Source organism: Homo sapiens, chromosome 22, assembly GCF_000001405.40.
Source record: "Homo sapiens chromosome 22, GRCh38.p14 Primary Assembly".
NCBI classification, from domain to species: domain Eukaryota; kingdom Metazoa; phylum Chordata; class Mammalia; order Primates; family Hominidae; genus Homo; species Homo sapiens.
In genome coordinates, this window is record NC_000022.11 from 44,775,601 (window position 1) to 44,787,712 (window position 12,112).

Below are 12,112 nucleotides of genomic sequence, written 5' to 3' on the forward strand. Positions count from 1 at the left end.
CCACGCCCGGCTAATTTTTTTGTATTATTAGTAGAGATGGGGTTTCATCATGTCGGCTGGGCTGGTCTCAAACTCCTGACCTCAGGTTATCCACCCACCTCGGCCTCCCAAAGTGCTAAGATTATAGGTGTGAGCCACCGCACCTGGCCCATAACTCTTTAAGGGAAATTTTTAGTACCTGAATTCTATTTTTTAGCACAAATCGTATCTCATTTTTAATCAGTTTATCTATATTATGTAGCTACTTAGCATTCTGGAAAAATTAGCTTCCCTGGTAATAGAAGGACTCCTTCAGTCACCTAGATTGGCCCACATTTCCAAATTTGCTTGATGTTTCAACTCGAGCTTTGCCTCATTCAGAAACCAGTAGCCTTCCTGATTCTGGTCACTCATGGAGTGAGTCCTCCTCTCCCAGGTAAGTCAGAAGCGAGTGAGTCACCTCCAGATTTCAGGTCCCAGCTGCCAAGCTGTAGTCTAAAACTTCACGGCACTTCCCATCCCCTGAAGATGTCACAAGTACAAGCTGCTTCCAGAGGCTTCTGTAACCCTCATTAATATGTAGGCATCCAGCCAGGCGCAGTGGCTCACACCTGTAATCTCAGCACTTTTGGAGGCTGAGGCGGGTGGATCACCTGAGTTCAGGAGTTTGAGACCTACCTGACCAAAATGGTGAAACCCAGTCTCTACTAAAAATACAAAAAATTAGCCGAGCATGGTGGCGGGTACCTGTAATCCCAGCTACTCGGGAGGCCGAGGCAGGAGAATCCCTTGAACCTGGGAGGCGGACATTGCAGTGAGCTGAGGTCGCGCCATTGCACTCCAGCCTGGACAATAAGAGTGAAACTCCGTCTCAAAAAAAAAGAAAAAAAAAAGTAGGCATCCTTGTACTTGTTAAAATTATTCCTGTGTCTCCACTGTGGTGAGGCCTGTGGTAAGCAACATCTCCTGAAGTGCCACCTGCCTTGTTTGAGAGTCATAAAACGCTGTCTTCTTAATAGGCTCCTGGAGTTCAGATTTTTCATTAATGTAAATGGGCCCTCCCTGTGTTGCCCTTTATTCTGAGTTACTGAGGCTTCACTTGCCGGTTCCCAGCACTGGGCACTCCGGGAGGATTTGGTAATTAACTGAAAGCCTTGCTTCAGCGGGTGGCGTCAGAGCAGAATTAATGGCGCTGCGCACTGTAGGTGGCCTGGTGGCGGGGGTAGGGGTGCATGGGAAGAGGTGTTTGCTGTTGCTTGTAACTCACCCCTCCTTCCACTGGGAGCCTCTCCCTGTATCCCCCCTGCCTCAAGGCCCACTGTGCCCTGCCTGCTCTGTCCATCACCCTCGCTGTCTATGCAGCTTGGGACATGTCCCAAGCACCTGCTCCTCCTGCAATGCTGTTCCTGCTGTTTCTGGGACCGGCTTTTTGCCCTCAGGCTCCTGAGCTATTGTAGGTTCTAGAAGCCTCTGCTGACCTTCTCAGGCACTCCTCTGCTCAAGAACCTGCTGTGTCTCCCTAGCACGTGTTCCTCAAGTCTGAATCATTCCACTCCCGTAACACTCTGCTATTCTTCAACAGGCATACTCTACCACCTCCCGCTGGGCCCAGGCCTTCCCCTTGGCACAGTTGGAGCAGCCTCTGTTATGGTATGTGCCTGTCTCACGCTAGGGGCCAGGGCTGGGCTCAGACCCTGGCGGCTGACTCCCCATGTTGTGCTTAAACGTTCGTCTCAATTTTGAACATTTCTCCCAACACTTTTTAAATAAAATCCCTGAGCTCTTCTGCTTGGAGAAAGTCCTGGCAAATCATTCCCAACAATAAAATCTCATGATCAGAATGTAGTAGCACTTTTCTCACTAGCCAGGTAGGTTCATGTCATTAAAAGGTGGCTTTAAACACTTTTCTCTTGGCAGAAATTCAAAGACTTTCGCCCCTGAGCAGGGTCACTCTGTTGGGCCTGAAGTCTCCTCCCTACTGCTCGTTACCCATTTAACAGCTGCTGTCAGACACCCAGTGGCTTTACTTCTGCAGCTGCTTTTTTTTTTCTCCCTTCTGAATTCTTAACTTGTATTTGAGCCCACCCAGTGGTGATTGTTTTGTTTTATTTTATTTAGTTAGTTGTTAATTTTGAGACAGAGTTTTGTTCTTGTCACCCAGGCTGGAGTGTAATGGCACAATCTTGGCTCACTGCAACCTCCGCCTCCCGGGCTCAAGCGGTTCTCCTGCCTGACCCTCCCAAGTAGCTGGGATTACAGGTGTCCGCCACCATGCCCAGCTAATTTTTGTATTTTTAGTAGAGACGGGGTTTTACCATGTTGGCTAGTCTGTTCTCAAACTCCTGACCTCAGGTGATCCACCTGCCTCAGCCTCCCAAAGTGCTGGGATTACAGGCATGAGCCACTGTGCCTGGACTATTTTATTTATTTATTTATTTATTTATTTATTTATTTATTTATTTATTTCCATAGGTTATTGGGGAACAGGTGGTGTGGCTACATGAGTACGTTCTTTAGTGTTGATTTGTGAGATTTGGGTGCACCCATCACCTGAGCAGTATACATTGCATTCAATGTGTAGTCTTTTATCCCTCACCCCCTTCCCACCCTTTCCCTCTAAGTCCCCAAAGTCCATTGTGTTTTTCTTATGCCTTTGCATCCTCATAGCTTAGCTCCCACTTATGAGAACGTAACAATGTTTGGTTTTCCATTTCTGAGTTACTTCACTTAGAATAACAGTCTCCAATCTCATCCAAGTTGCTATGAATGCCATTAATTCATTCCTTTTTATGGCTGAGTAGTATTCCATCGTATGTCTATATCACAGTTTCTTTATCCTCTCGTTGATTAATGGGCATTTGGGCTGGTTCCACATTTTTGCGATTGCGAATTGTGCTGCTATAAACATGGGTGTGCAAGGATCTTTTTTGTATAATGACTTATTTTCCTCTGGGTAGACACCCAGTAGCGGGATTGCTGGATCAAATGGTAGTTCTACGTTTAGTTCTTTAAGGAATCTCCACACTGTTTTCCATAGTGGTTGTGCTAGTTTATATTCCTGCCAGCTGTGTAGAAGTGTTCCCTGTTCACCGCAGCCACGCCAATATCTATTATTTTATGATTTTTTGATTATGGCCATTCTTCCTTCTGTAACTTCTTCAGGTGGTCAGGCTAAAATCAGTTTTCTGTGCCCTGGGACGATAGCAAAACAGCAGAAATAACGGCCTCACCCTTGATTCATTTCTGCCCCCAGTTCTAATGGTCAGCCCTCCTCTCTCTCTAACCCCACATTAAAAGGTAACTTCCAGGAAATGGAAAATCAGAACTCTCACACAGATATAAAACAAACATGTTAATGATTTTCTTTCACCCATAATGAGTGAACCAGGCAGCAGCTACCATCAGTTCAAAAGATGGTCTGCAAAACACACCCACAAATAGATCAGGAATCTTGGAATGGATACGTAACGAAAAGCAGAAAGTGGAATTGCACAGTGACTGACTTTTTGGTCTCTGACTTTTTTTTTTTTTTTTTTTTGAGACAGAGTCTCACTCTGTCACCCAGGCTGGAGTGCAGTGGCGCGATCTTGGCTCACTGCAACCTCCGCCTCTTGGGTTCAAGCGATTCTCCTGCCTCAGCCTCCCTAGTAGCTGGGATTACAGGTCCCCACCATCCACGCCTGGCTAATTTTTGTATTTTTAGTAGAGATGGGGTTTCACCATGTTGACCAGGCTGGTCTCGAACTCCTGACCTCAGGTGATTTGCCTGCCTCAGCCTCCCAAAGTTCTTGGATTGCAAGCATGAGCTACTGCGCCCGGCCGGTGTCTGACTTTTTGTTCAACATATTGCGAGACCACTCACGTCGGTACGCGTGGCTATAGTGGCCTGTCCACCTGGCATGTAACATCCCGCTGTAGGACATCTGCCATTTACATCTCCTTTGCCTGCTGTGGAGATTTACATGGGCGGTTTCCAGTTTGAGGATTTTTTTTTTTTTTTGAGTTGGAGTCTTGCTCTGTCACCCAGGCTGGAGTGCAGTGGGGTGATCTCGGCTCACTGCAACCTCTGCCTACCAGGTTCAAGCAATTCTTCTGCCTCAGTTTCCCGAGTAGCCGGGATTACAGGTGTGAGCCATGGGCCACCACGCCCAGCTAATTTTTGTATTTTTAGTAGAGATGGGGTTTCACTGTATTGGCCAGGCTGGTCTCGAACTCCTGACCCCGGTTGATCCACCTGCCTCGGCCTCCAAAGTGCTAGGATTACAGGCATGAGCCACCACGCTCGGCCTTTTTCTTCATTTTAGACAAAACAACAGGGGGGTCCCTTGAAGGGCATTTCCTCAAACCCTGCGGGCTTGTGTGAAACACGCCTCTGTGTTCTGTGTGCTTCTCCCTCAGGGTGTCAGAGGGAGGGACCCCCAGGCTGGGACCCCAAGAGGTGGCAGCAGGTGTCCCATCTGCCAGGTGAGCGTGTCCGGGCTGGACTTTGAGGAGCTGGCCGGCATAGCTAATGTATGTTCTCCCTCCAGCCTGGTCCTGGGAGAAGATCATTGGTATACATTTAGTTTTTGAGTAGATAATATATTCATGTGGCTCAAAAAAAATCTAACTTTATAAAAATACACTCAGTGGGCCGGCACAGTGGTGCACAGCTGTGGTCTCAGCTACTCAGGAGGCTGAGGCAAGAGGATCTCTTGAGCCCAGGAGGCCAAGGCTGCAGTGAGCTGTGATTGCGCCACTGCACTCCAGCCTGGGCTACAGAGCAAGATCCTATCTCTTAAAAAATAAAATAAAAAACAGGCTGGGCACAGTGGCTCATGCCTGTAATCCCTGCACCTTGGGATGCCAAGGCGGGTGGACCATCTGAGGTCAGGAGTTTAAGACCAACCTGGTCAACATGGTGAAAACCCATATCTATTAAAAACACAAAAAATTAGCCGGACATGGTGGCGGGCGCCTGTAGTCCCAGCTACTCAGGAGGCTGAGGCAGGAGAATCTACTGAACCAGGGAGGCGGAGGTTGCATTGAGCCGAGATCGCACCACTGCACTCCAGCCTGGGCAACGGAGCAAGACTCCATCTCAAAATAAAATAAAATAGGTATTCAGTGAAAAGTCTTTCTTCCACCCCATCCTCAGGCCCTGCCCTCACCCCCACCACTGGCCAATGCCATTAGTCCATGTTTTATCTTTGTAGACTTGCTTTATGCAGATTTAAATAAAGCCCTGGGGATGAGGATCATCCTCCTGGGTTGTGAGGCTTTAGTGAGATAACACCCTCATTCACGGTAGAGCTACCCTATAAGGTGCTAGGTTCTGTTTCCCATTTTACAGAAAAATAAACTGAGGCTCAGAGGCACTGAAGAGCATGCCTGAGGAAACCAGGCGACAAAGGCCAAGCTGGGAGGAGAGCCTCGCTTCCAGGTATCCCCTGGGTTCCACAGACTCCCGTGCACGTGTGTCCAAGTGAGGGGCAGTGGCTGTCACTATCATGTGCGCTGCCGGCGGCTGCCGGGCAGATTTCTCTTCTGGGTTTGAAATAACCAGAGGCGATCTTAAGAACCTACTGACGACCCGCCGCTCTGGAAGAAATCATTTTCCATTCTGCATCTAGCATCAGCATTTCACATCCAGATGCAGGAAGTCTTCGTGGAATTTTACATACATTGCTTGGTTTGCTTCCAAGAACTCATGATTTTGCCTTCTGGTTTACTCTCCTTACTGCTTCAGGCTTGCAGCGATAGGAACCCATTTCTCCCTTGGGTTGCTGTGGCAGCGTGACGGTAATGCAGATTCAGGAGATTGCAGTATGAGGTTCAAGTGTGGGCTGCGTTCAGATGGGGTCCCTTGACCTGCCTCATCCTGTTTCCTTACCATAGTGCTTCCCATGTACTGTAGCATTTTTTTCTTTTTAAAATGATTTATATTATATTATTTTATTTTTTAAATGTTTATTTATTTTTGAGACAGAGTTTCACTCTTGTTGCCCAAGCTGGAGTGCGATGGCGCGATCTCAGCTCACTGCAGCCTCCGGCTCCCAGGTTCAAGGGATTCTCCTGCCTCAGCCCCCAAGTAGCTGGGATTACAGGTGCGTGCCACCACGCCCGGCTAATTTTTTTGTATTTTTAGTAGAAACAGGGATTCACCATGTTAGCCAGGCTGGTCTTGAACTCCTGACCTCAGGTGATCCACATGCCTCAGCCACCCGAAGTGCTGGGATTGCAGGCGTGAGCCACCGTGCCTGGCCTATTTTATTTATTTTTATTTTATTTTTAGAGACAGGATCTTGCTGTGTTGCCCAGGCTGGAGTGCAGTGATGTGAAATTGGCTCACTGCAGCCCTGACCTCCTGGGCTCAGTCGATCCTCCCACCTCAGCCTCCTGAGTAGATGGGATTACAGGCATGCACCACCGTGTCTAGCCCTTCTCTTTTAAATTGGACTGAAATTCGTGTAACATTAAATTAACCACTTTAGGGCCGGGTGTGGTGGCTCACGCCTATAATCCCAGCACTTTGGGAGGCTGAGGCGGGCAGATCACTTGAGGTCAGGAGTTTGAGACCAGCCTGGCCAATGTGGTGAAACCCCATCTCTACTAAAAATACAAAAAAATTAGCTTGGCATGGTGGCACATGCCTGTAGTCCCAGGTACTCAGGGGGCTGAGGCAGGAGAATCGCTTGAACCGGAGAGGAGGAGATTACAGTGAGCCAAGATCGCACCAGTGCACTCCAGCCTGGGCGACAAAGTGAGACTCCATCTCAAAAAATAAAAAATAAATGAAAAGAATAAATTAATCACTTTAAAGCACACAATTCAGGGCTGTCGAGTCCACTCACAGTGCTGTGTACCCACCGCTGCTAGTTAGTTCCAGAACGTTTTCATCACCCCAGTGGGAAACTCCCATTAAGCAGCCACTCCCCTGCCCTCCCTCCCTCCATTCCTGGCATCCACCCATCTGCTTTCTGTCTCTGTGGATTTGCCTATTCGGGACGCTTCATGTAAATGGGATCATACCGTGTGTGCTTTTTTGTGCCTGGTTTCTTTCACTGAATAGAGCGGTTTCAAGTTCCTCTATGTTGGGTCATAGGCCAGAACTTCATCCTGTTACGGCTGAGTAATATTTCACCATATGGCTGGACCGCACGTGGCTTATCCATCCATCCACTGGTGGACATCTGGGCAGTTGCCACCCTTTGGCTGTTGTGAGCAGTGCTGCTCTGAGCATGCGTGTACGTGTATTTGCTCAGTCCCCGTCTCCAGCTTTCCTGGGCTTCTCCTTGGCTGGGTCGTAGGTTTGGCTTTCTGGGGAGCTGCCACGCTGTTTTCCACGGCACGCTTTAGCACTGAAACATCAGGAGGCCTCCACTTGTGCAGTGATGGGGGTGTCCACGTGGCTAACGTGTAGGGCCACGGGGGTTTCCAGGATGGTTCCCGCAGTGGGCCTGGGCCAGCCCAGCTCCAGCCCGATACACACGCTCCCCTCCCTCCCTCCCTCCCTCCCTCTGGGCCAGGCTGCCCCACTCCATGTTTCTGCTCAATCTTCTCAGGGCCCAGGAGGTTTCACCACGTTGGCAGGGCTGGTCTCGAACTCCTGACCTTGCATGAAGCCCAAGTCCTCCCCACGTTCAAGGTTCCATGGTCTGGCCTGGCTCTCCCATAGCCACGCTGACCTTGGAGGCCCTCCCCTGCCTGCAGGGCTTTGCCACTCTCTGAGTGCCCCCTCCCCACCCCCGCAGCGGTCCATCCCCGAGCTGTCCACACAGAGGCAGGCGGGCAGTCCATTTCACTGCCACTCAGGGCCAGCACCAGCCAGGACCCACACCCGGAGCTTGTCATTGAAGAGCTCGGCCCCCACAGGCCTCCTGCTCCCCCTTCTCTGCAGCCAGAGGGATCCTGGAAGCCCCATCAGGCAGGCTCGACTCAGGACATCCAGCCGCTCTGTCACACTTGGGGTGAAGGTCCCTGGAGGCCCACCTCCTGCACCCACCTCCCCTAGGTCTCTCTCCTTTCCCTGTTCATGCCTCTGCTCCACCGCACTAGAACCGGCATCCCTGAGGCCAGAGCTGTGCAAGCTTCCAGTGGCTGCCGCAGCAGGTCCCCACCCCGTCAGCGGCACAAATAGCACAGAGACCTTAGCTTCCCGACCTGTCCGAAAGGTGTTTCCTGGGCTGAGGTCAAGGCGTTGGCGGCCGGCTGTACCTCCGGAGGCTCCAGGGAGGCTTTGTTTCCTGCCCTTTGCTGCCCACATTCCTGGGCTCGGGCCCATCCTGCCTCCAGCCGCAGAGCCTGTCCCCATCATTCTCTCTGCCTCCACCCATGGTCATGGCTGCTTCCTTGACTCAGCCCTTCCTGCCTCATTCTTGTAAGGACCCCCTGCAATTATACTCAACCTCTGCACCCACGGGTTCTGTATCCAAGGATGCAACCAGCTGCAAATCAAAAATACTTCATAACATAATACATAAAAAATACAATAATAAAAGCAATGCAAAAATCTTAATACCACAATAAAACCATGCAAATTAAAAATAAAAAAAAAGTACACTGCCAGCCACGGTGACTCACACCTGTAATCCCAGCACTTTGGGAGGTCAAGGAAGGCAGATCACTTGAGGCCAGGGGTTCGAGACCAGTCTGGCCAACATGGTGAAACCCTGTCTCTACTAAAAAGACAAAAATTAGCTGAGCGTGGTGGTGCATGCCTGTAATTCCAGCTACTCAGGAGGCTGAGGCAGGAGAATTGCTTGAATCCAGGTGGTGGAGGTTGCAGTGAGCAGAGATCATGCCACTGCACTCCAGCCTGGGCGAGGGAGTGAGACTCGGTCTCAAACAAAACAAAACAACAACAAACAGTATAAAAATTCCTTACATAGCATTTACATTGTATTTGGTATTATAAGTAATCTAGAGGTGATTTGAACAATACGGGAGAATGTGTGTAGGTTCCTTGCAAACACTATGCCATTTTCTATCAGGGATTTGAGCTTCCAAAGATTTTGGTATCCCTGGGGGGTCCTGGAACCAATCCCTCCAGGATACTGAGAGACAACTGTACTTTGGGCCCAACTGGATAATCCACGATAACCCACTCATCTCAGGATCCTTAACTTAATCCCCTCTGCAGAATCGCTTTTGCCACAGACAGTCACATGCACAGGGTCCAGGGAGCGGGATGTGGACCTCACTGGGAGGCCTCTGTTCTGCCCGACGCAGGGGCTTTGCCTGTGTGGCTGCTGGGTCCTCACTGCCGGAAAGTGTTCTTGGCACATAGTAGGTACTCAATGCATATTTGTTGACTGACTGGAAGGAGGGGTGTCCTGTGGCACCCCCTACTCACCCCACCCTGGGACCCTCACACCTGTTGATGAACAGGGGCCTTGGCCCCATCCCCCGCCCCATTCCTGCACAGAGTGGTGCTGAGTAAATACCAGGTAAACACCCCAAGGACTGGGGTAGACCGGGACTGAGTGGGCAGGGAGGTGTGGGAAGCAGCTTCCAGCCCATGTGAGGCAGCCCTCAGGCCCCGCCTCACGCTCCCTCCTCGATGGGGTGTTGGTCTGGATGAGTGAATCTCAAACCTGACTTTGCATCAGAATCACCTCCAGAAATTGTTAGAAAAGCCAGTGCTTTCTCCTCGGGCACCCTCACCAGCCTCGTCATGCCCTAGGCCTCCTAACTCCATGGGACCTGAATCTACCCATCTCCTCGGGCCGCCAGCAAAGTGCCACAACCTGGCGGCTTAAGACAACAGGTCACTGTCTCAGTTCTGGAGGCCACCAGTCCAAAGTCAAGGTGTCTGCAGAGCTGCACTTTCCCGAAGGCTCCAGGGGAGGGTCTTTTTTGCATCTTCTGGTGGTTCCTGGTGTCCCTTGGCTTGCGGCCGCATCACACTAGTCTGTGACTCCGTCCTCACACACCCTCCCCTTGTATCTCCTGAGTCATTGGATTCAGGGCCCACCTTGATCCAGTTGACCACATCTTAACTACTTACATCTCCAAAGACCCGACTTCCAAATAAGGTCACATTCCGAGCTCCAGGAGGAATACTGGGGTGGGGAGGGGATAGTCTTCAACCCCCTACACCTGGGATCCTACATCTGCTCTAACCTTGAAATTCAAAATTCCTGTTCTTTTTTGCAGCTGAAAACATTTCTCTAAGAACCCTGATTGGTTTTGCATGAGAACCTCCCCTGCTAAGATTCAACTTAGGAGGGCAGCCTTTTCTTTCTTCCTCATATGGCAGTGACCCCAGTGCCTGCCCTCAACCCCAGCCCACCTTGGTGCTTTCGGCAGCACTGGCTTCCTGCTGGCTGCCAGTGTCAGGGTCTTTCATGGAGGCCTGGCTCAGAATTTGGAGCTGGAGGTTCAAGGTTAAGTCCACACCTTGCTGCCAGTTAGCAAGTCACTCTCCCTCTCTGAGCCTTAGTTGCCACCCCTGTCAATGTGGACAGTATCTGACCCTTAGGTCTTATTTTTCTCCCTCCATGGTGCTGGACACTGGATGGGCACTTGGTGTACAACCGAGGTAGAGTACACAGTGGGTGCATGGCTGAGGTAGGTCGCATAGTGGGTGCTCGGCTGATGTCGAGTGCATAATGGGTGCTCGGCTGAGGTAGGGCGTATAGTGGGTGCTCGACTGATGTAGAGTGTATAATGGGTGCTCGGCTGAGGGAGGGCGCGTACTGGGTGCTCGGCTGAGGCAGGGCGCCTAGTGGGTGCTCGGCTGAGGCAGGGCGCGTAGTGGGTGCACGGCTGAGGTAGGGCGCGTAGTGGGTGTGCAGCAGAGGTGGGTGACTGTCTTATGAAAGGCATCAGGAGGCTCCCTCATTCCCCGCCTTACTGGAGAATGCACTGACTTCCTTTAATCTTCTTTGCCGCAGAGCTGCAGAGAGACAAGGCGGCGGCGGCTGCTGTGCTGGGTGCAGTGAGGAAGAGGCCCTCGGTGGTGCCCATGGCTGGCCAGGATCCTGCGCTGAGCACGAGTCACCCGTTCTACGACGTGGCCAGACATGGCATTCTGCAGGTGGCAGGTAGGGCCCCAGCTGGGCAGTCTGCAGGACCATGGGCAGAGCAGCCTTCCTCTCGGCAACTTTGAGGCAAAGTGGGCTCGTCAGGGGCTGCCTCACTGCAGCTGGGCAAGATTGAAATCTAATTAGAGCCAGGTGCAGTGGCTCATACCTTTAATCCTAGCACTTTGTGAGGCCAAAGTGGGCAGATTGCTTCAGCCCACGAATTCGAGACCAGCCTGGGCAATGTAGTGAGACCCCATCTCTACAAAAAAAATACAAAAATCAGCCGAGCATGGTGTTGCATGCCTGTATTCCCAGCTACTTGCGGGGCTGAGGTGGGAAGATTGCTTCAGCCCGGGAGGCAGAGGTTGCACAGTGAGCCAAGATCACACCACTGCACTCCAGCCTGGGTGACAGAGTGACAGAGTGGTGAGACCCTGTCTCAAAAAAACAAAAAAAAAAAAAAGAAAGAAGTAAAACTAATTGGAAAAGGAGGGCCTGCTAGTGTGTTTGGAGAAATAAATTACACACTTGTCAAAGCATTGCCCAGGTGCTCCGAGAAGCCAACGGGCAGTGTCCTGCTAGGCTTTAAAGAGCAGAGGCTGAAATTTAATGAATTGTTTTATTAATCAAGGGCACTGTTATGTCTCATCCAAAGCAACAAACATCTGCAAAAACGTAGACAACAAACAACTCCGTGCCCAGCAGTTGGTCAGAGGAAAACATCTTGCGTTGCTTTGTTTTGTTTTGTTTTGTTTTGTTTTGTTTTGTTTTGTTTGAGACAGGGTTTCGCTCTGTCGCCCAGGCTGGAGTGCAGTAGTACGATCCCAGCTCACAGCAACCTCTGCCTCCCGGGTTCAAGAGATTCTCCTCCTCAGCCTCCCAAGTAGCTGGGATTACAGGCGCTCACCCCCACACTCAGCTAATTTTTGTATTTTTAGTAGAGACGGGGTTTCGCCATTTTGGTCAGGCTGGTCTTGAACTCCTGACCTCAAGTGATCCACCTGTCTCGGTCTCCCAGAATGCTGGGATTATAGGCGTGAGCCACCGTGCCCGGCCTTGCATTGCTTTAATTTAGGTCTGAGCATGCATTTCTCCCATGGGCAGTGAGTCCAACCCTCACGTTG

The 12,112-nt window shown here is 50.7% G+C and overlaps 2 protein-coding genes across 4 annotated transcripts in view, besides 4 other annotated features; both read left to right on the forward strand.

The window, feature by feature from the left end:
* Window positions 1-12,112, forward strand: part of PRR5-ARHGAP8 (PRR5-ARHGAP8 readthrough) — a 160,581-nt gene that overhangs the window by 73,397 nt on the left and 75,072 nt on the right. The window contains exon 5 of the mRNA NM_181334.6: window positions 10,857-11,006. Coding sequence (NP_851851.3) covers window positions 10,857-11,006 — 150 coding nt within the window. The remainder of the gene's footprint in view (window positions 1-10,856; window positions 11,007-12,112) is intronic.
* ARHGAP8 (Rho GTPase activating protein 8) overlaps window positions 1-12,112 on the forward strand; it is a 110,210-nt gene that overhangs the window by 23,026 nt on the left and 75,072 nt on the right. For all 3 annotated transcript variants that reach the window (NM_001017526.2, NM_181335.3, NM_001198726.2), the window contains exon 2: window positions 10,857-11,006. In NM_001017526.2, coding sequence (NP_001017526.1) covers window positions 10,928-11,006 — 79 coding nt within the window. In that variant the 5' untranslated portion in view covers window positions 10,857-10,927. The remainder of the gene's footprint in view (window positions 1-10,856; window positions 11,007-12,112) is intronic.
* Window positions 3,970-4,470: an enhancer, noted in NCBI's record as "H3K27ac hESC enhancer chr22:45175450-45175950 (GRCh37/hg19 assembly coordinates)". NCBI's record gives its function as "activates a minimal SCP1, AML or CMV promoter by ChIP-STARR-seq in primed H9 embryonic stem cells {active_cell/tissue: H9 hESC(primed)}" and the evidence as "EXISTENCE:reporter gene assay evidence [ECO:0000049][PMID:30033119]".
* Window positions 7,346-7,902: an enhancer, noted in NCBI's record as "H3K4me1 hESC enhancer chr22:45178826-45179382 (GRCh37/hg19 assembly coordinates)". NCBI's record gives its function as "activates a minimal SCP1, AML or CMV promoter by ChIP-STARR-seq in naive H9 embryonic stem cells {active_cell/tissue: H9 hESC(naive)}" and the evidence as "EXISTENCE:reporter gene assay evidence [ECO:0000049][PMID:30033119]".
* Window positions 10,288-10,828: an enhancer, noted in NCBI's record as "H3K4me1 hESC enhancer chr22:45181768-45182308 (GRCh37/hg19 assembly coordinates)". NCBI's record gives its function as "activates a minimal SCP1, AML or CMV promoter by ChIP-STARR-seq in naive H9 embryonic stem cells {active_cell/tissue: H9 hESC(naive)}" and the evidence as "EXISTENCE:reporter gene assay evidence [ECO:0000049][PMID:30033119]".
* Window positions 10,829-11,369: an enhancer, noted in NCBI's record as "H3K4me1 hESC enhancer chr22:45182309-45182849 (GRCh37/hg19 assembly coordinates)". NCBI's record gives its function as "activates a minimal SCP1, AML or CMV promoter by ChIP-STARR-seq in naive H9 embryonic stem cells {active_cell/tissue: H9 hESC(naive)}" and the evidence as "EXISTENCE:reporter gene assay evidence [ECO:0000049][PMID:30033119]".